This window comes from Homo sapiens, chromosome 7 (assembly GCF_000001405.40).
Source record: "Homo sapiens chromosome 7, GRCh38.p14 Primary Assembly".
Lineage (NCBI taxonomy): Eukaryota > Metazoa > Chordata > Mammalia > Primates > Hominidae > Homo > Homo sapiens.
In genome coordinates this window covers 21,582,833-21,607,486 of record NC_000007.14, presented here as the reverse complement: position 1 = coordinate 21,607,486, position 24,654 = coordinate 21,582,833, and the positions used below count along the sequence as shown (strand labels likewise).

Sequence of the window (24,654 nt, the reverse complement as noted above, 5' to 3'; positions counted from 1 at the left end):
CTATGATGATTGTGATAGTTAATACTGACTGTCAACATGATTGGACTGAAGGATACAAAGTATTGTTCCTGGGTGTGTCTGTGAGGGTGATGCCAAAGGAGATTAACAATTGAGTCAGGAGACTGGGAGAGGCAAACCCACCCTCAATCTGGGTGGGCACCATCTAATCAGCTGCCAGCACAGCTAGGATAAAAGCAGACAGAGGAATGTGGAAGGACTAGGCTGGCTGAGTCTTCTGGCCTCCATCTTTCTCCCGTGCTAGATGCTTCTTGTCCACGAACACTGGACTCCATGTTCTTCAGCTTTTGGTCTCTTGGACCTACACCAGCTTGCTAGGGAGTCTGGGGCCTTTGGCCACAGACTCAAGGCCGCAATGCTGGCTCCCCTACTTTTGAGGTTTTGAGACTCAGAGTGGCTTCCTTGTTCCTCAGCTTGCAGACAGCCTACTGTGGGACTTCGCCTTGTGATGGTGTGAGTCAATACTCCTTAATAAACGCCCTTTCCTATATACATCTATCCTACTAGTCCTGTCCCTCTAGAGAACCCTAATACAATGACGATGATGGTTTTGGGAGGCATGATTTGAAATACAATACAATTTACTTAAGGGGAAATTGCTTATAACTGGGTTTTAAATAAATCAATTCCTATAACAGCAAAACAAAGACAAAATGTGGCAGTATTTTGTGTCTAAACTTACATTTTTTAAAGTAGCTATTTTAATGCACACAGGATATTTGAGATCTGTATTACCTTATCAAGCGCTGTGTATGGATTTTCTGCATTAAATCCAAGAGGGGCATAGTGTCTGAATCTCTCTCTGAACTCTGCCTGCTTTGCCTGATCATTGCAAAAAAAAAAAAAAAAAAAAGTGAATTTCAAACAAATACTTCAATTATCCTAGTAAAACCTTTCTTAAAACAAAAACTTGGTAACTAGCTTACGTCAAACAAAATACATTTTTTCCTTATAAGAGTGACTTCCGCATTATGGAGAGGTGAGACTTCATGTCTGACAGTTGCTGCGATCTTTTTGGTAGTTTCCCATCTTTCAGGTAATTCCTGCAAAAGCAAAGGCACAAATGCGAAATTACTTCAATTCCTAAAACAAATCAACCCTATAGGATTAAATGACTCTAATTTCTTTCTTTTTTTTTTTTCTCTTGAGACAAGGTCTGGCTCTATCCCCTAGGCTGGAGTGCACTGGCATGATCTCAGCTCACTGAAACCTTCACCTCCAAGGCTCAAGTGATCCTCCCAGCTCAGTCTCCCCAGTAGCTGGAACTACAGGCATGTACCACCATGCCCAGATAATTTTTGTATTTGTTGTAGGACAGGGTTTCAGCATGTTGTTCAGGCTGGTCTTGAACTCGTGAATTCAAGCGATTCACCTGCCTCTGGCTCCCAAAGTGCTGGGATTACAGGCATGAGCCACCATGTCCATGTAAATGATTCTAATTTCTTTACACTAACCCATGACATCTCTTCATTCTTATATAATGAGTTTATAAAAAAGGATGAAAGTGATGAAAAGGCTTAGAACCAAGGCTGAAGTACAGGCTGATTCACTGGCACTGCTGGGTTCAGAACTCCAAAGCATGTACCAGAATTGTTCTCATCTCAGAATCCATGGAAATCTTTTTAAAATAAACACAAATCTCCTAATTGTTTTGCTGCTGTGGGAATAAAATTGAAGTGCTCTGGAAATGACTTTGTTGATCTCTAACAACTAGAAATGGAAGCCAGCCATGTTTAGTAATTTAGCAAGTGAAAAAAAAGATGCTTTGAAAATGCTGGGGCAAGGATGAAAATGTGAATCAATCTCATCCTCGGCTTTTCTCTAGCTCCCAAAGCTCTGTACATTCTCCTTCTTGTTGGAGAGTTTGAGGATTGAGGTTGGGTTTATTTTAGGGGACTAGGAGTTTTTGAAGGGAGAAGAGGGCAAAGGGAAGAAAGGTTAATTCCTACTCTATGTAGGACAAAAGACACAATAAATAGTTCAGGTACCAACTCAACTCTGCTCTCCCTGCCTACAATGCAAATAGGACAAAAGCAAGTTATTTTCTTTAAGGAGCAATGCATGGAGCATAATTACTGTTGAAAAGCATTCCTTGTGTCCCAATTAACAAAGAATTGTTCCTCTCGGTCATCTCCTGGGACAGTGAAATTGTTTTGTCACACAAACCCACCCACAGTGATGGAACTCTACTTGTAGCTGAAGTGCAAAACTCAAAGGTTCTAAAGACTATTTTGTAAACCTCAGTAAATATTTGATGAACGATTCAGTAACTGCCAGTTATGGAAAAACGCACTGTGCTAGGTCTAAATACTATTTGTGTGGTGAACAGGGTGCTAAAAAGGTAAAACATTCTCTCAAATTGTTTTATAATCTGTCAGAGTGAGCAAGAGGCACACACAATAACTATTCTACACAACAGAATGTGCTAACTATCAGGAGGTCTATGTGTTATGGAATCAAAACAGTTGGGAGACAATTTGGTGACATGACAGGAATACCAAACCAGCTCAGGAACCAAGGGACCTGGGCTTTAAACCCCTTTGTCCTTCCCTCTCGTGGCTTCTCATCAAAACTCTGCATCCGCCCTCTGTACAGACAGAGTCTCACTTTGCATTTCCAATTCCATTCCATGGAACCTAAGTATTCCATGGAGTCCCTCGGAGGCCATGGCTGGGAAGCCAGGAGGAAGTTACATCCATGAGCTCAGGTCCCCTTATCCCTCTTCAAACACAACAAACCTGCTTTATATTTGGGGATTCCAAACAAGTTTTTACTTGGTAAAAATAAATTTTCTTGAAACCCAAAAGATCAGATGATCTCCAAAGCCTCTCAAAGTCAGATGATCCACTCAAGGAGGAGGTGACACTGAAACTGAGGCTCAACGAAATGACTAGGTTTCAACAGGCAGAGATTAGGGTGAGATCCCTTGAGGTATGACGACCAATACAGGATGGTGTGAGTGTGTGAGCTCTTATGGAAACTGGACAGCATTCGGGAAGTTAGGGGCAGTTAATGAAGGTTTCTGAGCAGAAAAGGGACTGGATAAGTCCTGCAGATCAGAATATTCATCTTGTTTCAGAGTATATTGTGGGTGGGGTGTGAGGAGGAATGGGATGAATTAAGGGGCTGTTGCTGTGAGGTGAGAAGTAACAAGAGCTGAATTAAAGTGGGTGTTAACAGCAGTGAAAAGAGGCAAAAGACTGAAGAGATGCTCCAACAGGACAAAGATCTTGCTGGTGGTGAGTCCTCATGACTTTAAGGAAGTAATACTTCAACTCTTAGTAGGCATAGCCAGACTTTAGGGTGTTTTCCCACAGAACTAAGCATAGACAAGTATTTGGAAAATGTTATGACTTCTCATAATAACAAAGGAGAAACTGAAAGTAACTATCACTTGAAGTTGCTTAAATTAAAATAAAATTGGGCCTCGTTACCCTCCAAATACACCACATACCGCCTATGAATCTTATTTTCCCTCCTGACAAGTCTAAATTACTGATACACAGCTAAAATTGTATTCTGCTTTTGAAATGTTGAAAAGCCTAATGCTTTCAATACTACCATCACCCGAAAGAGTGAACCAAACTTATATAATACAAATTCTGGAGGCCATATCTAAATTTCCCTCATCAATTACTTATTATGACTACTTTCTCTATGAGATATAGTTTAAGGTTCAACATCTGATTCAAGGAATATCTAAATCTTCCTAGAAACAAGAACTATTTATAGTTGTTTCTACTGTAACTGTTTTATCTCTTCATCTTGTTATGTATGTATCTGTCTAGAACTTGTCATCTTGCTCCATGTCTAACTGGCTTGCAAGCTCTAAGGGCAGTTTTATACTTAAATAGAATTTAACAATTCATATACAGTAATTCTCATAGTCTTTATAGTCAAGAGAGCACTTGTAAATACCCTGCTGCATTTAATCCTCACAAAGCAAAATGACAGAATATAAAACAAAACAGCCACTGTGAAAAATAGTTTGGCAATGGCTCAAAAAGTTAAATATAGAACTACCAGATGACCCAGCAATTCCACTCCTAGGTGTACTGAAAAGAATTGAAAACAGATACTCAAATAAATACACACCAGTGTTCATAGCAGCACTACTGACAATAGCCCAAAGATGGAAACAACCCAAATGTCCATTGACAGACGAGTGGATAAGCCAATGGTGGTATGGACGGACATACAATGGAATGTTATTCAGCCATAAAAAGAAATGAAGTACCAACACATGCTACAATGTGAATGAACCTGGAAAACATTATACCAAGTGAAAGAAGCCTAACAAAATAGGTCACATATTGTATGATTCCATCTATCTGAAATATCTAGAGTAAGTGAACCCATAAAGGCAGAAATAGATTGGGAATTGCCAAGGATTGGTGGGTAGGGGTTTGCAAGGCTTGGCAGGGCATGGAGGAGGATAATGGGGAGAGACAGAGAAGTGGTATGGGATTTCTGGGAGTGATGAAAATTTCTGGAACTAGATAGAGGTGGTAGTTGCACAATATTGTACTAAATTGTACATTTTTAAATGGTTACTTTTATATGTTATCCGAATAGTACATTTCACCTCAATAAAAAAAAGAAAAAAACAGAAATTGATGGGAGCAAGTATAGAGAAATTGTTTAAATGAGGGATCATGAGGCATATTTTAGCAAAAAGTAAGTGTGGTCTTAGACATTAACAAACTTGTCAAGGCAAACAGAAAAGATGAACTCATACAGTACTTGAAAACAAATCTAAGTTTGAGTTCTGTGCTCTGACTACTAAACTAGATCAACTAGAATCCAGTGAAAGCTTTTTGGTTAATGTGTCCACTGATCACATTTGCAAAATTCAAGTACATGTGTGTACACACACACACACACACACACACACACACACACACACACACAATCTATAAAATATCAATATTGGCATAGAAAAAGAATCTAAATTGTGAGACTGTGGTTCATGATTTCAGTTCTAATTAAAGAGACTTTGTTGTTAAAAAGCCCCCAAATCTTTCCACAGCATGGAAACAGGTGGATGGCATAGAAATCTATTTAGAAAGCACAGTGATTTCCCCATCCAAATTGAGTTTCATTTATTTATTATTAGTATTATTATTATTTTGAGAAGGAGTCTCGCTTTGTCCCCATGCTAGAGTGCAGTGGTGTGATCTCAGCTCACTGCAACCTTCACCTCCCGAGTTCAAACGATTCTTCTGCCTCAGCCTCCTGAGTAGGTGGACTACAGGTGCGTGCCACCATGCCCAGCTAATTTTTGTATTTTTAGTAGAGATGGGGTTTCAGCATGTTGGCCAGGCTGGTCTTGAACTCCGAACCTCAGGTGATCTGCCTGCCTCAGCCTCTCACAGTGCTGGGATTACAGACATGAGCCACCACGCCTGGCCTATTTATTCTTTATTAACAAATCCATGATACGTTTGCAAGACTAGGGCACTTCTTGACTGACAGGTAGTTTTTTTGAATGAAAAAAAAAAGTATGGATATATTTCATGTGTGAAAAATGATGGTAAAACTGAACTCAAAAAAGCAACTCATAGGTTCTTTACAATCTACATTCTTTCTAATAAGAAGGCAGTGGAGCACAGTGGTTAAGTATTTTGTCATAAAACACACCGAGAGTGTTGGCTGGCTTTACTATTTGCATGACCTTGAGAAAGTTATTAAATCTCCTTAAGTATCAGATTCCTAACCTGTAAATTGAAAACATCAAATGTGTACAGTATAGATTGTTATAAGGACATCATAAGAGAGTACATGTAAAGTACTTTAATAAAAGAGATGCTCAATTTATGGTAATTATGATTATTTCACCTCTGCACTTACCTCTAGCTGAATATAGACCTGCTCAGGCATCTTCTGGCCATAGCTTTCCAAGAGGGTGATCGTTTCTTTTAGAGGTTCAAAGAGTTCATCAGTAGCTCTCTGTCGGCTTCTTACAGCCAGAAGATGCACCATGATGTCAACTAAACCATCATGATCACCTTCATTTAATTCTCTCTGAAGTCCGGAATCTGTCTCCTTTATAAATTCTTGTAGCTCATTCAGACTATTAAATATATATGTACATAGATACACACAAATTAAGTTTATTAAAACATTTAGCAGTATAAGACTTCTGATTGAATCTTATTTTCATTATGTACCTGATTAAACATTTATCTCTATCATGAAACTGGCAACATTAATACGCTTAAAAGTAACATCTCAGTTTTAGAAAGCAGTTTAGAAAGTTATAATTCCAAAAACCAAAGTAAAAGGCTACCTGTCAATGACAAATCTCAAAAGATGCTCCTGAAACATCCAGCTCCATTTCTTAATTATGGTTAACAAGCTCACTTTGAAAGGCTTCATGTCCACCTTGAACCAACTATCAAACACTCTAAAGTCCTCAAATTTGCTCATTTGAACATACAAAGCTTCATAAATGTCAATCTGTAGTGAGAAAAAGATTAATTAGAACAACTCAGTGAAAAGCCATTTCACTACATTAAATGCTAAGGGTTTTCCTTGCCTGTTCTTTGAATTGCTCAAGAGTTGGTGGTTGTTCGGGAATTTCTTCATTTGCATGAGCATCCATTTCATCGGAAGACACAGCATGGCCATACAAGAGAAAATGCTTCATAAACTCAGCTCGATCATCCACCCAGAGGTAAGTGTGGGTCTCCAGGGTGTTTCTGAAATCTAAGACTTTGTTGATGACATTCACCACTCTGTTCATGATCTCCTGCCTGACCTCTGCCAGGCCTAACATGTTATCCATATCATTCTAAATGAGAGGAAAACACAGCACTTACTATTCAAACCAACCTTACTTTACCAATTATCTACAACATAACATTACCAAGGTAATTCTTCAAAGGGAGAGTAGTTAGAAAAATTAAAAATCATGTTGCTTTTTCCAACTTCTCTTTTCCCTGTGCTTCCCATTTTCCTAATTTGTTCTGGGTTTTGTTTTCTGGTGGTTTTTTGTGTTTTGTTTTTGTTTTTTTGAGACAGGGTTTTGTCACTCAAGCTGGAGTGCACTGGCTTAATCATAGCTCACTGCAGCCTCTAACTCCTGGACTCAAGCAATCCTCCTGCCTGAGCCTCCTGAGTAGCTGGGACTACAGATGCATGCCACCACACCCAGCTAATTTTTTAATTTTTTTAAGAGACGGTCTTGCTATGCTGCTTAGGCTGGTCTTGAACTCTTGGGCCCAAGCAATCCTCTTGCCTCAGCCTCCCAAAGTTCTGGGATTCCCAGCATGAGCTACCATACTCAGCCACAATTTGTTTTTGAATCATTAATATAAAAGCTAAATACCCATTTACTAAGAAAATACCTGATAATTTTTAATTTCCAGGTGTGTTGCTATTCGGTTCATCTGGGCAGACATTCTAAAACTATTGCATAACATTTCTTCTACAAGATCATAGAAGCCATCCCCAGCCTCTCTGTCTAGGGAAGGTTTAAACACAATCTCAGGAGGCAACAAGATCATTTGTGCTTGAAAAAACGGTGCCGGTTTCAATTGTTTCTCTGTATTCTTCAGAAAGAAGTCTAAGTCGTGCATTATAGCCTGAAAAAAGCCTTCCACCACAATGTCGTCAATGAATTCTACATAAATTTTCCAGGTATCCAGAGAGGGATTGGCTTTGAAGAGCTTCCTATTTTCCTAGAAACAGACAAGTATTAGTGGATGAATATAAACAAATAATTAGCATAAAAACTAAAACTCTCCGTTTAAATAGTTTGTAAAAGAAGAGACTGCATTGTTGTGCACAAGACAGGAACATTCAAATACTAAGTTGCAGAACCTTAAGCTAGATGTCAAAGATCTAAGCAGGAATTTAGAACATTAAGTTCACACATGAAATACATTCAAAAGTTGTTTCAAGGAAAGTTCTCTACAAAGATTGCTATCTTCAGATACAGACAGGAAATACACTAGTTCCCAGTGAATTCTAGACATTTTGGACCTGGGCTCTAGTTTTTGCTCTGTCACTAACTCTGTGTCCTTAGACTTTGCCTTCCAGGGCCTTCCGTATAAATAAAGAGATCTGTCAAACTGGTCCTTCAGAGAACACTGTTCTGGAACATCTGAAGACTATCAAGTCAGTGAAGTACTATGTACTCTATGCCATTCTTGGAGACTCACAATGTACCTATTCTATTAAAGTCCACTGAGGCTATTATTAAAAAGTCAAAAAATAACAGATGCTGGTGAGGTTGCACAGAAAAAGGAATGTTTATATACTGTTGGTAGAAATGTTAATTAGTTCAACCACTGTGGAAGACAGTGTGGAAATTCCTCAAAGACCCAAAAACAGAAATATCATTTGACCCAGCAATCCCATCACTGGATATACACCAAAAGGGATATAAATCATTCTATTATAAAGACACACACATGTATGTTCATTATAGCACTATTCACAATAGCAAAGACATGGAATCAACCTAAGTGCCTATCAATGATACACTGGATAAAGAAAATGTGGTACGTGTATACATGGAATACTATGCAGCCATAAAAAACAACGAGATCATGTCCTTTGCAGGAACATGGATGGAGCTGGAGGCCATTATCCTCAGCAAACTAATGCAGGAGCAGAAAACCAAATACTGCATTTTCTCACTTTTAAGTGGGAAATAAATGATGAGAACACATGGACACATAGAGGGGCACAACACACACTGGGATCTAAAGGAGGGTAAGGATTGGAAGGAGGGAGAGGATCAGGAAAAATAACCAGTGGGTACTAGGCATAATACCTGGGTGATAAAATAATCTGTACAATAAACCTTCATGTTTTCAGACCTTGTTTAAGCACAATTTATTTATTTATTTATTTATTTATTTATTTATTTATTTTTGCATACCATCTATGATAAGCAACCTGTGGAATAGACCCAGTTTAGAAAACACTGGACTAGGGAAGTTCTAAGCTCCCTTCTTGCATCAACAATATGAGCTTCTTGCACCTTAGTGTCTCCCAAGAGTTTGGGCGACACAATGGACAAGCCAGTTGGGGCAAAATAGGACCTGAAGACAGAGGTGTGGTTAAGGACCACTACAGGTTGAGCACGCAGTGTGCTTGCCTAGAGACACAGGTTTCAAAAGGTCAGGTGGGCAGCAAAGTTGATTCTAGAGAGGCTGAGTGGCTAAACTTGCATGGTCTATACAGACCAGACGGCAGATACCCAAGGGAGGAACTGAAGCACAGAGCAAAAGAGACATTGGAATAAGAGCTGATTATAAGGTGACACTGGAATAAGAGCTGATTGTAAGGTGGACTATACTCTCTGTTTTCTTTGATTATTCTTTACTATGGATATATGATCCAGGATGCAAAGGTGTTATGTTGTAAGCAAGAATCAGAACTAGAGAGGTAAGTACAGATCCTAATAAGGCAGGGGAGAGATGAGAGAACCCTAGCTCTCAAAAAAATTTAAGAACTGCTCCTTCTCAGGAATGCTGTGTTGCCTACCAGCCAGGTGGAACCATTCACATCTGTGTAATCATGTGACATGCACCCCTGGAATTGTGCAGTACACACCCTAGGAAAGTATACACAGCTGCCCTGGCCCCTTTGTAGGCACTAAAAGAGAAAAGTATAGATCTTACAGCTGAAGAAAAATCCTTAGAGACCATCTTGTTAAGTCTCCTCATCTTAAAGATATTAATACGGTTTGACTCTGTGTCCTCACCCAAATCTAAACTTGAATTGTAATCTCCATGTGTTGGGAGAGTGGCCTGGTGGAAGGTGACTGAATCATGGGGGCAGACTCCCTGCCCCAACCCCCCGCTTGCTGTTCTCATTACAGAATTCTCATGAGATCTGGTTGTTTGATAAGTGTGTGTTTCTTCCCCTTTGCTCTCTCTCCTGCCACCATGTAAGACGGACCTTGCTTCCCCTTTGCCTTCTGCCATGATTGTAAGTTTCCTGAGGCCTCCCCAGCCATCTAGAACTGCGAGTCAATTAAATCTCTTTTCTTCATAAATGACCCTGTCTCAGGTAGTTCTTTTTTTCAAAGCAGTGTGAAAACATACTAACATAGACATGAAAACAAAGACCTAATACACATTCAGCGTCGCACTAGTAGGAAGTTAATAGCTGAGCTAGGACTAGAAACCAGCCCTCTTGACCTCCCAGAGTAGGGCCTTTCCCATCATGTCACGGTCATACACACTTTTTCATACCAAGAGATCCAGTTTACCTCACTACAGTCACATTGATGAGAAATGCTGTATCTTCAGCACATTCGGATAAAGGGAGCGAAAGGAAGAGAAAGGAGAGCTTTAGATAACTGAATGATCACTCAGGCCCAATATTCCATGGTCCTGCTCCTCTCTTCTCTCCATCTTTAACTCTGACTCCAGACCACTCGCTGACATGCCACCAGCCAGAAAACATGCAGCATGCAAAAGGCAGAACTGACTCACCCTTGGCCATATTTCTACAGCTTTTCCCCAAACCATGTTCCTCACCAGAAGCCTGAGAACTAGGTTCAACATCACGTGCTAAGTCAAGAGGAAAATAATCACTTAAAAGACCCAACTTATGGAAACAAATAATCATTTCATTTCCATTTTAAAGCTGGCTTACATTCCCTCAAGGCAGAAGCTCTCTTCCATTCTTGGATTGAGAACAGTGATTTCAAAGCTTCCTAGTTTTTGCCTTAAGGACAAAAATAGGAGAATCCATTTATTAATACAAAAAATTCTAACATTTTTCTCTGAGATGACAATGCAAAACCTTGTTTTCTGATGATTTCTAGTCATGTCTTGGCCATACTTTTAATGCATTTTCATCAGGATTCATATCTTAATGGTTTAAATCCTTAGAGTTTGGGGAGTACATTTTTTTATTATCAAGAAAATGTAACAGAAAAAACTAACCGTAATCCATCATCTGTCCTCTATGAGACAGATTCTAACACATAAACAGTTGTAGAGATGTCTTAAAAGTCAGAGAATAATTCACAGCATTTATTGAACAACTAGAAATAGTCCACGGCATGACTTAGTTAAGATACTGCTGAAAAACAAATTAATTTCTAGATAAATACCTCCCTTACACGTCAGGACACCCCTGAGATTCTCTCCAGGCTACCCAGGACTTTGGCAGAGCCTTCTGAGGGAGCATGGCCCTGCCCACACTTTGATTTCAGACTTCAGCCCTCTAGACTATGAGAGAATAAACTTCTTTCATTTCAGGACAGCCTGTTTGTGGACCTTGTCATGGCAGCCTTGGGACGCTATTCCAGGCAGTACTCAAAGAAGACAGAAACAAAGTCTTTGTCCTAGCAAATTGTCATTGATGGGAAAATTAAAACTTTCTTAGAAATTTTAGAAAACACTGGAAGTCAACAGAAACACTGAAACCCATGTTAATTATGTACTTCTTTTTATTTTCTTCTCCATATCCACTAGAGCATATCAAATGTACTGTACTTTACGTTTTGGTAAGAAAATCTGTTACCCTCCGAACCCTTTCTTCACTCGGCTTCCTGTCCTGGTTTTCCTCCTACTGTCTCAGCCTTTCCTTTTCTGCATCTTTGGCTGGTCCTTCTTCTCCCTGGTCTCCTAAGAGAAGAATGGTGGTCCAGCCAACAGTCCTTGATTTTCTTCTATTCTCTAGCTAAACTCATGTTCTCGGTGATCACATCCAGTCTCCTGGCTTAAATATCATTGCCATCCACTCCTCCTTCATTTGTGTTTTCAGTTTGGACCCCTCTCATTAACTCTAAATGAGTAAATCCAATAGCCCACTCAACTCCTCTTGGCTAATTAACACCTCAAATTCAAAATGCCCAAAACTGAAATCTTGACCTTCCCTGCTAAGTCTCTTCCTCTCATACCCTTCCCCATCTGAATAGATTGCAAATTCACCTTTCCAGTTGATCATGACAAAATGTGTAGAATAATCTTTAACGTGTCTTTCTTTCGTGCTCCACATCCAGTCTTTGGGAAACTCTGTTTGCTCCACTTAATTCAAAATATATCCAGAATCCAACTACTTCTAATCACTTTCACTGCTACCACCCTGGTCCAGCACCATCATCTGTTACGTGCCTGTGCCACTGTCTGAATGCTTATGTCCTCCCAAAATTTGAATGTGAAAATCCCAACCCCCAAGGGGATGGTATTATGAGGAGGGGTTTAGGAGGAGGTGATTAGGTCCTGAGGGCAGAGCCTTCATGAATGAAAGTACTGCCTATATGAAACAGGCCCAGGGGAACTTCCTCCATGTGAGGACACAATGAGAAGTTGGCAGTCTGCAACCTAGAAGAGGGGCCTTGCCAGAAACTGATCATGCTGGCACCTGGTCCTCCAGAACTATGAGATAACCATTTCTGCTGTTTTAAAGCTACTCAGTTTAGAGTATTTTGCTATATCAGCCTGAACATACGGAACCCCTAGATTACTAGTAAGAATGGCAACCTACCAGGTCGGCCTGCCTCTTCCCTAGCCTCCCTACAGAGGGTCTCAACACAACAGCCAGAAATCCTTTTAGAATGAAAGTCAGATTGTATTTACTCCCCTTCTCAAAATCTCAAAATTCTGCAGTGTCTTTCACATACCTCAGAGTGAGCCAAAGCCAGAATCTGCAAAAAGGCCTATGAAGCCTCCCCTGAGCTGCCAGTCCCTCACCACGCAGCTTAGCGTCTGACCTCACCTCAGCAACTCTCCACTCAGCTCCCTCTACTCCCCCCACACTTACTTCCCTGCTCCTCCTCGAGCATGCCCAGGGATCTCCTGCCCCAAAACTATCTCCTCTGCCTGGAACACTCTTCACCAAAGGCCCACTTGGCTGACTCTATCACCTCTGTCAAGTCTTTGTTCAAATTTCACCTTCTGGTTGAGGCCTACTCTGATCATCCTACTTAAAACTGCATCCTCGACCCCACCCTCCAGAATTCCCTTGCCCTGCTCCAATTTGATCTTTTTCCTGCAGCGCGTACCAGTTCTAACACAGCACGACTTACTATGTCACTGCTTATTGTCTCTCTCCTCACTTGATTCAAGTTCCATGAGAGCAAGGAACTTTGTCTGCTCTGCTCTCATATTTCAAAAACCTAGAAAGGTGCTGGGTACACACAATGCTCACAATAAATATTTCTCAAATAAGTGAATGATGATGGACTGCAAAGACAAGATACATAATGGGTTGCATACAATTCCCAGCAGGAAAACCGTAATCTATTTCTTGTTCTGCTGAGAATTATCCTAGAGACAAGGACCTTCATTTTACACATGAGAAAATTCAGGCCCAGCCTCTGGAAGACTCTGGTTTCCAGCCTTTACCAAGGACACTTTCCCTACCCCACACTGTGCTACTTCATGATGGCTTCAGAGTGTGTGTGTGTGTGTGTGTGTGTGTGTGTGTGTGTATGTGTGTATGAAAGAGTGTGCATGAGGGAGAAAGAGTGTGTGTGAGTGTGTGTGTGATATGTGAGAGGAAGAGACTGTGTGTGAGAGTATGTGACATACAGAGAAAAAGAGTATGTGTGTGTGAAAGAGAGTGTGTGTGTGTTAGAGAGAGAGAGATTTTGTGTCTGGGGGGAGCAGGGGCAGGGGAGGGGGTCTGTCTGCCTTGCCCAAAGGAGAGTATTCATGGATTAAGGACTGTGCTGGTCTATAGAGAAGACTCCACATAACAAGGATGCTCAGAGGAAACATGAAATACGCTCTTTCATTCCTATCCCTTTTTTCCTTAAGAAATAGTAACAACAAGAAATCAACTCCCCATGTTCCCATCATCAGCATTGCACATCTGTGAGCACCACATTCCTATCTTTGCCTTCCCTCCATCCTGTACTACAGATGAATGCTCCGCGCTCCTGTCTAAAGACACCTTCTACAGGTATTTACTAAATCCCATTTCCCTCAATGGCTTTCTTCCAACAATTTTTTCTCCTTCCTAGATTACTGCAGTTAACATACAAACATCCTGAAACATCAACCACTATTAAAAATAAAACCCTCCCCACCCTGATACACAGGCCCCAGGTACTGCCCAGTTGTTGGTTTGCCACACAGCAGAGCTCCTCAGGATCTCCTCAGCTGCCTCCACTCATATTTCCCCATTCTCTCATCAGCCCACTCCCACCAAGCTTCCACTCTGCCACCACATGAAATCACCTCTCCTCATCCCAATGACTTCCGTGCTGCCAGATCTGAGGGTTAGCCTCCGTCTTTATTTTCAGGTCCTACGTCAGGATGGGACAGAGTTGAGCTCTTCCTCCTCCTTGAAATCCCTTCTATTATTGGTTTCCAGGGCATCACTCTCTCTTTTTCAGTATCCTCTGTGGGATTTTCCTCTTCTCCCTGACCTAGGGAGGACTTCGAGGCTAGTTTTTGGGCCTCTTTTCTATCTACAATTCCCACATGTTCTTAATCTAATTATATGGCTCTAAATACCATACATATGTGCATAAATCTCAATTCTCTGTTACTTACCTGGATTTTGCCCTGAACACAAGACACATTTGCAATTCTAGTCTACTCAAAATGTCCCTTAGGACAAGCATCTCTAACTAACTTGTCCAAAACCAAACCTCCTTTTTTTTTCTGCTACAAAATCTGCTCACCACAGTCTTCCTCATATCATTAAAGGGCAACCCCAGTCCAGTCCAATCACTCAGACCAAAAACCTTGAAATCATCCTTGACTTCTCTCTCCTCTGATTCCTCAAAGCAAATTCTGCTGGCTCTGCCATCAAAATATCTGCAGGATATGAACTGCCTTGATCACTAGCACTATGACCCAAGGCAGCATCATTTCTCACCTGGATTATTAGCATAGGCTCTGAAGAGTCTCCCTGCCAACCACTTCTTTGCTTGCCTGTGGCTTACCCTCCACAGGGAAAGCCTTTGAGCAGAAAGTCTCTGGCTGCTCTTTCCCCTTACGGTAAAATCCAAAGTCCTCATAACAGCCTGCTAACCCCACATAATGTACCATTAGTCTCTTCTACCTCACCCTCTACTACCACTCCCCTTGCAAATTCTGATCTCAGTTTGCTGACTGATCCTGGAACAGGCCAGGCTGCTCCTGCCTCAAAGTGTCTATACTTTTGCTCTCCAGAATGTTCTTCTCCTGATATCCATATGCTTTGTTCCCTGTCAGTTCTCTGCAGAAATACTATCTTAGGAAAGAGGCCTGCCCAACCACCCTACCCGCAAGCGACTCCCTATCCCACCTGCTCTGCTCTATTTTTCATCATTGCTCCTATTACAACTGACATATCTATTTGTTCTTTTCTCTTGCTAACTTCCTCTGACTAGAGTGTAAGCTCCATGAAATAAAGGATTTGGTGGTGGTTGGCAGGGGAGCATTGTGTTGTTTGCTTTTATTTTCCTGCCTTCTGCCTTTTGTGTGTGTGTGTGTGTTTTTTTTCTGTTTTCTCTTGCATTCACAAGCCTAGATGAGTGCCTGTTACTGTTTTAGGAACTCAAATCTTTGTTAAAAGGAGAGTAATTATTGTTGCCACCCTTAGGAGATGGTTGAGAGGGTACCTTGAGATGACCTAAGGAAGTTGTTTGTTTGGCACATACGAGGCAGTCAACAAACAGTGGTAGCTATAAGGAGCATCCAAAAGAGGATGCAACTGTGACAAGATAAAGATTCTATCACTAGCCTTTCTGTTTAATCAACACATCTCACATTCTAATCTCTTCCCTCAGGAATGACAGTGGTGAGGGCTACAGAAATTGCAGGCAAGTAACACAAATTCCTCCACTTTAAATGCCTAATAATACCATTCATAAAGCTCTTTCAGGCTTGATAAAAGAGTCCCACATTATTAGGTTAAAGATTTTTGCTCTTCTCTGAACTCAATGAAAAGATCTATAAATCTTGAAAGGTTAAAAGCCATTACCTCGACCAAGTTGTGGATCTTGCAGCCATCTCCTTGGATTAACTTGTATTTTTTTGTAAACAAATCACCCTTGTCCTCCAAGGTGAAGGCTGCCTCTCGTCTGTGCTCTCTCCTGGGAGGTAGCACGCACCTGGCCCAGCCCCTCATGGTCTGCTGGATCACCTTCACGTTTTTCTGTGTGCGCTCAACTCTGTGCTCCAACTCGGACGTGGCTGCCCTCACCCTCTCGATGTAGCCCCAGCAGTCATCCTGCCATGTCAGCCACGTTGTGGCTGCTGTCAGCTGCTCGTCAATAGCCCTCAGCTCATCTTCAATCAGAGGGTATTCAACTTCCAGGAGCGTCTGTTTGAGTTTATTATACCCTTGCACAAGAAGGTCAAGATTTCCAATGTACTGAGCAAAGAAAACCCCAAAACAAAAAGTGCCAAATATGTTAGCTATTTTCTCTGTCTTAAAGGTGTAAAAATATCATATAGATCTATATAATAATTAAAATTCAAAATATTTATATTCATAATAGGCCCTAGTATCTTTTTTTTAACAAAAATCACAAACCTTTAAAATAGTGTTCCTTTTCTTGAAGATGGCTAAAGCTGAATCTGGTATGTCTTGTTTCTTCAACATCAAAAGATATTTCACTTCTCTCAATACAGCCACTAGCTATTAAAATACAATTATTAAAATTATTGCATATTTTCATAATGTCATTCTATTTTAACTCAAGTTTAACTTGAAATACTTAAGATGTTATCCAAGTATTACTATATTTCCAAATCAAGGTAAATAGACTTTTGTTTCATATACTTTTTAAAAACAAAAATCATACATTCATAATATAGTAAAGGTATATGAATTATCCTTAAACATCTCAAGAAATTAGTTTCTATAAATTGGTTTTATGAAATCAGAAAGTAGAACGAATCCTCAGTTAACTATGTCATATATTTAGGTATGTGTGCTGAGTTTTACTAGCAAAATAAAGTCAACTATTCTCTGTACATATTTTAGGGAAACAGATCAGAATTTGGGTGCAGAGTATGCTTATCCAACTCAGTGAGGCTAACTTTCCCACTTCCTAGGCATGCATTTTGACTGCCATGAGAGACTCCAGGTAATCACTAATAGTGAATGTATAATCTTCATCCCCTAAAAATTCAGCTAGATGTTTAAGGCATTTTGTGTTTTGTCATGGAAATTACAAATAGATATTCTTATAAGCTTGCCCCTTACCCTAAAGCATACCCATGGTGGTAAATAGAAAAGAAAGCTTATTTTATGTCTCATATCTAGCAAGCTGCCAGACTTGGAGATCGTTTGTTTAAAATATATACAATGCATATACATACATATATACATGCACATCTAGCATTGATTAAATATATGCACATATTGTATAATTATATACACATACACATACATAAATGGTAACAAAAATCCCATTGTTACATAACATGTAATGAAATTATGAGAATTGAGAAAATATATGAAATTTCCTTTGTTACATGACTTACCATGCATTAACAAAAGACCTGTTCAATAAAGATAATATTCATCCTGGACATTATTTAACTTAATATTTTTTATATTAATATGTTTTATGTTTTTTAAAATTACCATCAATTTAATTACCATATACAAGCTTATTGTCCCTTTGAAAGAAATGACAATAAATTAAAATCTACCAGTGCTCATCAAAAACGTGACGTGTCTTTCATTCTGTGTATTCTGTTGATTCCCCAAATCTTAACTTACGTGATGAAATTTTAACTAAAACACTGGTGTATGTTATGAATATATTTAAGCCAGAAACTGTCCGGCAAAGACAAATGATTCAATTCAGTTGAGCTAACATTTACTAACTGTCACCAAGTACCAGACACTAAACTAGAAACATAGAGCATAAAGATGCAATGAAACGGATGCTACTCTCAGTGGCTCATTATCTAGTGAGGGTGGCGTGGTAAAGAAACAATTACAATACAAATTAATAGAGTAATTAGTAGAATTTGAGAAACAAATCTCTACAATGAAGACCTGTAAGAAATTGTTTACAGTTACAGTCCTCACAACTCTGACATTTTCCCAAATGTAAATTACAAATGACTGGAAATATCAGAAATAGGCTTATAATAAAAAGGGCACTTATAAATCATCTTAAAAAATCAAATCCCTACCTTTGGGTCAAAATTGACACAGAGAAGACCATTTATGGCACTGAATTTAACCAAGGGTTGATTCAAATTGAATTCACAGATTTCATCCACATTACTTTTCCATTCATTATAGATACGACTTTCAAATTGATCAAGCAAAGTGGTCATTTCAACATACTTTTGATAAACTAAAGCGTGATCAGGATTGCCCAAAAATCTGTAGGAATAAGGTTTTTCTACTGGTTTATACGTATATTAGATAGATTTCCGCTTAATAATTGTATAGTAATACAATATATAAAATATAATACACTATAAACAACCAGGAAGAGAAACAGTCAAGACCAAATTATGTGCGTATTAATTGCTTTTGCTTTAAAAGATAAAGTTATAAGATGAATGAAACTCAAGATTTTACTAAATGTTGATAGCAACAAGCTACTGGCTCCTAGGAAGAGAAGAAAAAGGTACAAAGATTGCATTATAAAAGCAGTGTTATTTATTGGAAAAAGGAAAAACAATAACGAGAAACTCCAAACATGGTGGGTGGAAAGGACAAGGAAAAAGAAAAAAAGGACCAGAAAACATGTAAGCATATGAAATTCTAAGAGTCCCATTAGAAATATTCCAAAACCATGGGAATGAATCCCTCTCCACAAACCCAACCAGTGAGAGAAGTGAACAGGGCAATGGCTTCCTAAGTGCTAATATGAACAGCTCACTCTCTTATATAAAATGTCACCCGTACCATTAGAATAACTTGCCATGACCTAAGCTTAACTACTTACAGATAACGGAGAGATGCGAAGTTTGACCAAAACATTTGAAGTCGTTGGAGAACCTGCTGGGCCCATTTCATATTTCCTGAGGTAAATGGCATGTTCTTGTTAAGAACTACATGACCACATTCAATCTGCAAGTTGATATTTTGGTGAAGAGGAAGAAAGGGAACATTTAGTCAGAATGGTTTCCAACCCTGTAAGCAATTTTTCATTTTGGTATTTTTACAGTAGTATAAAACATATGTGTTTAATCACTTGATTACTAGAAGAGTTACAGTCCTAAAGCAAGTTTACCATCTCCATGAGGAAACCAGTTAAATAAAAGCACAAAAATGTAGTGCCTATATCTAATCTTTAGATATAATCACATAGAGTTCTAGTTGATGGTCATTATCCGCCTAAATGATATTGTAAATGTGTCCAACCTTATCCACCACTTACCTGTTTCATGTGTTCATTATACAGTTGCTTACACACATCCAGCTCTGTATTAAACATATGCACTAGTGTGCTGTAATGTAGGCTGAAAATTTCCATGACAACTGGCTTCTCTAGAAAATTTCCAAATATGGTCAAAAGCTATAAAAATCAAAGTGAAGGCAACATTAAGCACTATGAGTTTTTAACAAATACTCAGCTCATAATGTTCCCCTTCAAACCTCTTACATGACTAAAGTTTAGAATCTTAAAAGCATCCTGTGATGCTTCAAAATGTAAAATGTATTTTTCCATCTCCCTAAAATTTCTGTACATCCAATAAACCAATTCTAGATGTAAAATAATTTCCCTTTCTCAGCAGAAAGGAACCACTGTCTGTCTGCAATTTCCGTTCACAGCTAATATTATTTCCTGTTGGGTTCCAGGTAACATTTTAGAAGATGCTTTGCAGATATAAGAATAGAAACAAGATTCACATACTTGTTATTGTTCTTCCCTCCTACATATGTATTCTTTAGATATAAATATCCATATATCCATATTAAGGCCCTCTAGGTCACAGCATGAATAATTATACCAGATGTGCCAGTCACCATGACTGCATGCCTATGGCCGCTGGTACATCCACACGACCCAGCCACCCCCAACAGTGTCCTGGGGCTACAGTGGTGACTGTTACAAGGACAACCACTCCACAGGTGGATGACTGTCCTGGCTCAAATCAATGCTTTGAGCTAATAAGATTCTTTCTCAGAGTCAGGGCCTGGCTGAATCCATGCTGGCTAAAATTATCAGTGAGCAGAAACTACTAGCAAGCAGAGGAAGTCAACTGATAGTGGGACAGGAGAAAGCAGACACACAGACTGAACAGGATCACATGACCAGCAAAGCAGGAGTCGAGTCTCACAAACTCCTCTTGCTCAGTCAATGGAGCCCCCTAGATTTCAAACTTACCTTCACTGCCGGTGTTCACAAAGCTTAGTTATCCAGTGAGTCTGATTTTGGATTCCCATTAGTCTCTTGTCTTGTTTACTACCCAATGTGGATTCTTCTGTGTGCTAGCATAAAATAGCTCTTTCCTTGCAAGCAAAATGATGTAACCAAAACATTTATTTGTATATAACCAATGTTTCTATAGTGCTATGTCCCAGGAACTATGTGTTAAGGGCTTTAAAAGTGCTGTTATTATTACACACTCCAGGTGAGGAAACTGAGTTACAAGGAGGGAATGATTTTCCCAAATTCGTAACAGCTAGTGGCGGAGCTGGGATTTGAAACCAGGCAGTCTAGCATTCGGGTTTGTGCTTCAGTGTGTAGCTTCTCATCAGCTAATACGCCATTGAAAGTTATGTCATTTTGTTATCTGATCATTCTGTGTGGGCTTTATAATATGTTAGTTATTAAGCCTGTCATATAGGTATTTTCTCTGAAAGAAGACATCTCAAAATAACTAAGTATATTTACAGTGGTAGATAAACTGTATCCAAGGTCACGCCTTGTTTAGCAATATGGCAAAGGAGGGGGCTTTGTTCTTTTTCTTAAGGAAATAACAGGTATTCCCTAAAACTTGTTTCACTTAAAAAACAGCTTCATAATAAAAATTTGCAAATATTTCCATAAACTACATTCACTGAAAATAAAATTACCATGAAAAAATTATAGAAACTAAAATGTAACTATAACTATACCTTAGGGATCAATTTAGACAAACACATTCTGACTTTTTCTGGTGACAGCAATTATAACTACAGTAGAAACTGCTAAATATTTTTAAATCTACTACTCGGGGCTACCTAGCAAAATGTAAATGATTAACTTTCTTCCCACAGTCATTGTTTTGTTGAGTTTGGGTTTCAAATAAAAATTCTGAAGTAAACATTGCCTTATGTATTTAACAAAAAAGTATATTCCAACAAGAAATGATAAGTGTATTTATTTCACAACATTATTTTGTAAAAACTTATCATATTGACCACAATGGAAAGAATACCAGAAGCTTCCTAGCTACATCACATCTTGCCCACCAGCTTAGCGGTCCTTAACTCCAAGTTTTCAAGAGAAAATACATAGAGAAAATACTCTGAGGCGAGGTTGTAAAGCCAAAAAGTAGTAGGAAAAGTCTCAATGTTTTAGGCAGTATACATTATTGTAATTGTTTGTCATGCAAAATGTATAAAAACCACCCTCCAGGAGGAGAGTAAAGGTCATTTCAACCTCTTGCTTCTTTGTTCACAGTAAAACTAAAAGCTATTTTATGAAGAGTAGAGATGTTTTCTTTCACATTGACTTCAAGACTAAAGAGTAATTCCCACCACATGCTTCTCTTTCTAAATATCACATCTGAGATCTGCAAGGTTTGCCTTAATTTTGCTCCACTTCTCTTTCATTGCATAATACAGTTTTTCATAACACCATTGCCATTGTTCGGTGTAGTACATATTTATATTTTTCCTAGGTGCGCCTCTTTCAAAGATTTTTAAAAATCTGTGGCCACCTAAACCATATACACTTCACATTTTAATACTTTTCAAAGCTGAAGTCCTTTCTAGACAATTTTTTTTACACACTTCGGTTTACCTTCATGTAAATTTTAGAGAGCCATTCAGTAGTATTTGGTTTTGGTTTTTGGTGAGCACCAGCACTTCAGATTTTAAAGTACTATACTTTTATATTAGAGTAGAATAGCGCTCAGTTCCGGTGCCCTTCCTGGCCATGTCTGTGACAATAGCAGGTACTGGAATAGTCGTCTTCAGAGAACCATCTATAAATATTTTTTTCCCAGGGACCAACAGTAAATGGTCTGAGCTCATCATTCTATCCCTATGGATGCAATATTTTTCTAAGTACACAGCCTTGTAATTTTTTCCTCTGCCATTACACTTGCAGCAGTTTACCCTCATCAGCATGTTATTTCATTACTTGAACTACCAGTCACTCCACCTAGCCTCAAGTACTTATTAAACGCCACTTTGTACAAGTCACCATGGAAGGCAATCTACACAGAAGCTGTAAGATGATGCCACACCCCCGCCAAGCTTATGACAGTAGGATCTCATCTTATATTTGTTCAGTAAACAGGTCAAATATCTGAAAAGTTAAAGAAAAAAACCTTTTACCTAAGAGATTAAATTGTTTAGAAAAAACATTAACTGACAGGTACTATAACAGAATTCATACTAATGGTTGTGAAAAAGAGAGACTTGAATTGAAAATGGCAGGAGCCTCTGTAATTGAGATTTCACTCTACATTTTTTTTAGTTATTTGTAAAAGCAAGAAAGAAAACTAGTTCCAGTAGCAAAGAATATGATAGACTATCACACATGTAAAAAAATAATACTTGAATTCTGTTATAAAGGCAAGAAAAAATTTTATGACTCTGTTAAGTGAAGAAGATTACAGTAGAGGATTAAAATATAATGTCATTTTTGTCAAAGAGAAACATGTATGCATATCTAGACAAAGAAAAAATAGTGGCAGTATTAAATATACTAGCAAGTATACCTGAGAGATGAGATTACAGGTCATTTTATAACAACAGGCTGTACATTTCGGCTGATGGCTGGCACCTGAGTTTCACTGAAGAGTTCTTATAAAACAAAGAACTATTTGATCCTCATGAATTTTTTTTAATACTTTAAGTTCTGGGATACATGTACACAATGTGCAGGTTTGTTACATAGGTATACATGTGCCATGCTGGTTTGCTGTACCTATCAACCCATCATCTACATTGGGTATTTCTCCTAATGCTACCTCTCCCCTAGCCCCCCACTCCCTGACATCCCCTGGTGTGTGATGTTCCCCTCTCTGTGTCCATGTGTTCTCACTGTTTAACTCCCACTTATGAGTGAGAACATGCAGTGTTTGGTTTTCTGTTCCTGTGTTAGTTTGCTGAGAATGTTGGTTTCCAGCTTCATCCATGTCCCTGCAAAGGACATGAACTCATTCTTCTTTATGGCTGCATAGTATTCCATGGTGTACATGTGCCACATTTTCTTTATCCAGTCTATCATTGATGGGCATTTGGGTTGGTTCCAAGTCTTTGCTACTGTGAACAGTGCTGCAATAAACATATGTGTGCATGTGTCTTTATAGAAGAATGACTTATAATCCTTTGGGTATATACCCAGTAATGGTATTGCCAGGTCAAATGGTATTTCTGGTTCTAGATCCTTGAGGAATCGCCGCACTGTCTTCCACAATGGTTGAACTAATTTGCACTCCCACCAACAGTGTAAAAGCATTCCTATTTCTCCACATTCCCTCTAGCATCTGTTGTTTCCTGACTTTTTAATGATCGCCATTCTAACTGGCATGAGGTGGTATGTCATTACGGTTTTGATTTGCATTTCTCTAATGACCAGTGATGATGAGCTTTTTTTCATGTTTCTTGGCCACATAAATGTCTCTTTTTGAGAAGTGTCTGTTCATGTCTTTCGCCCACTTTTTGATGGGGTTGTTTTTTTCTTGTAAATTTGTTTAAGTTCCTTGTAGATTCTGGATATTAGACCTTTGTCAGATGGATAGATTGCAAAAATATTCTCCCATTCTGTAGGTTGCCTGTTCACTCTGATGATAGTTTCTTTCGCTGTGGAGACGCATTTTAGTTTAATTAGATCCCATTTGTCAATTTTGGCTTTTGTTACAATTCCTTTTGGTGTTTTAGTCATGAAGTCTTTGCCCATGCCTATGTCCTGAATGGTATTGCCTGGGATTTCTTCTAGGGGTATTATGGTTTTAGGTCTTACATGTAAGTCTTTAATCCATCTTAATTTTTCTATAAGGTGTAAGGAAGAGGTCCAGTTTCCGTTTTCTGCATATGGCAAGCCAGTTTTCCCAACACCATTTATTAAATAGGGAATCCTTTCCCCATTGCTTGTTTTTGTCAGGTTTGTCAAAGATCACATGGTTGTAGATGTGTGTGTCATTATTTCTGAGGCCTCTGTTCTGTTCCATTGGTCTACAATCTGTTTTGGTACCAGTACTATACTGTTTTGGTTACTGTAGCCTTGTAGTGTAGTTTCAAGTCAGGTAGCATGATGCCTCCAGCTTTGTTCTTTTTGCTTAGGATTATATTGGCTATACATGCTCTTTTTCAGTTCCATATGAAATTTAAAGTAGTTTTTTCTAATTCTGTGAAGAAAGTCAGTGGTAGCTTGATGGGGATAGCATTGAATCTATAAATTACTTTGAGCAGTATGGCCATTTTCATGATAATGATTCTTCCTATCCAGATCCTCGTGAATTCTTTATGTTAAAATGCTTGACTGGGGCCAGAGAACGCCGGTGTCTTCTCCACTGACCAGCCAATTCATTCGAAGGTCAAAATCAAACAATATCTTTTAAAAATCTGTGTCTGCTATATTGTTTG

At 39.0% G+C, this 24,654-nt stretch overlaps 1 protein-coding gene across 1 annotated transcript in view, besides 2 other annotated features; it reads right to left on the bottom strand.

The window, feature by feature from the left end:
- DNAH11 (dynein axonemal heavy chain 11) overlaps nt 1-24,654 on the bottom strand; it is a 358,801-nt gene that overhangs the window by 294,353 nt on the left and 39,794 nt on the right. Inside the window, exons 10-20 of the mRNA NM_001277115.2 lie at nt 19,286-19,423; nt 18,851-18,975; nt 18,084-18,279; nt 16,465-16,569; nt 15,910-16,302; nt 7,368-7,700; nt 6,557-6,811; nt 6,308-6,477; nt 5,869-6,091; nt 945-1,061; nt 754-840 (exon numbers count right to left, since the gene is read on the bottom strand). Coding sequence (NP_001264044.1) covers nt 754-840; nt 945-1,061; nt 5,869-6,091; nt 6,308-6,477; nt 6,557-6,811; nt 7,368-7,700; nt 15,910-16,302; nt 16,465-16,569; nt 18,084-18,279; nt 18,851-18,975; nt 19,286-19,423 — 2,142 coding nt within the window. The remainder of the gene's footprint in view (nt 1-753; nt 841-944; nt 1,062-5,868; nt 6,092-6,307; nt 6,478-6,556; nt 6,812-7,367; nt 7,701-15,909; nt 16,303-16,464; nt 16,570-18,083; nt 18,280-18,850; nt 18,976-19,285; nt 19,424-24,654) is intronic.
- Nucleotides 3,370-3,459: an enhancer, noted in NCBI's record as "active region_25700". NCBI's record gives its function as "activates an Ori minimal core promoter by ATAC-STARR-seq in GM12878 lymphoblastoid cells {active_cell/tissue: GM12878}" and the evidence as "EXISTENCE:reporter gene assay evidence [ECO:0000049][PMID:35858748]".
- Nucleotides 6,244-7,443: an enhancer, noted in NCBI's record as "BRD4-independent group 4 enhancer chr7:21639662-21640861 (GRCh37/hg19 assembly coordinates)". NCBI's record gives its function as "activates an origin of replication core promoter dependent on BRD2, P300/CBP, MED14 and CDK7 cofactors, and independent of BRD4, by STARR-seq in HCT116 cells {active_cell/tissue: HCT116}" and the evidence as "EXISTENCE:reporter gene assay evidence [ECO:0000049][PMID:35650434]".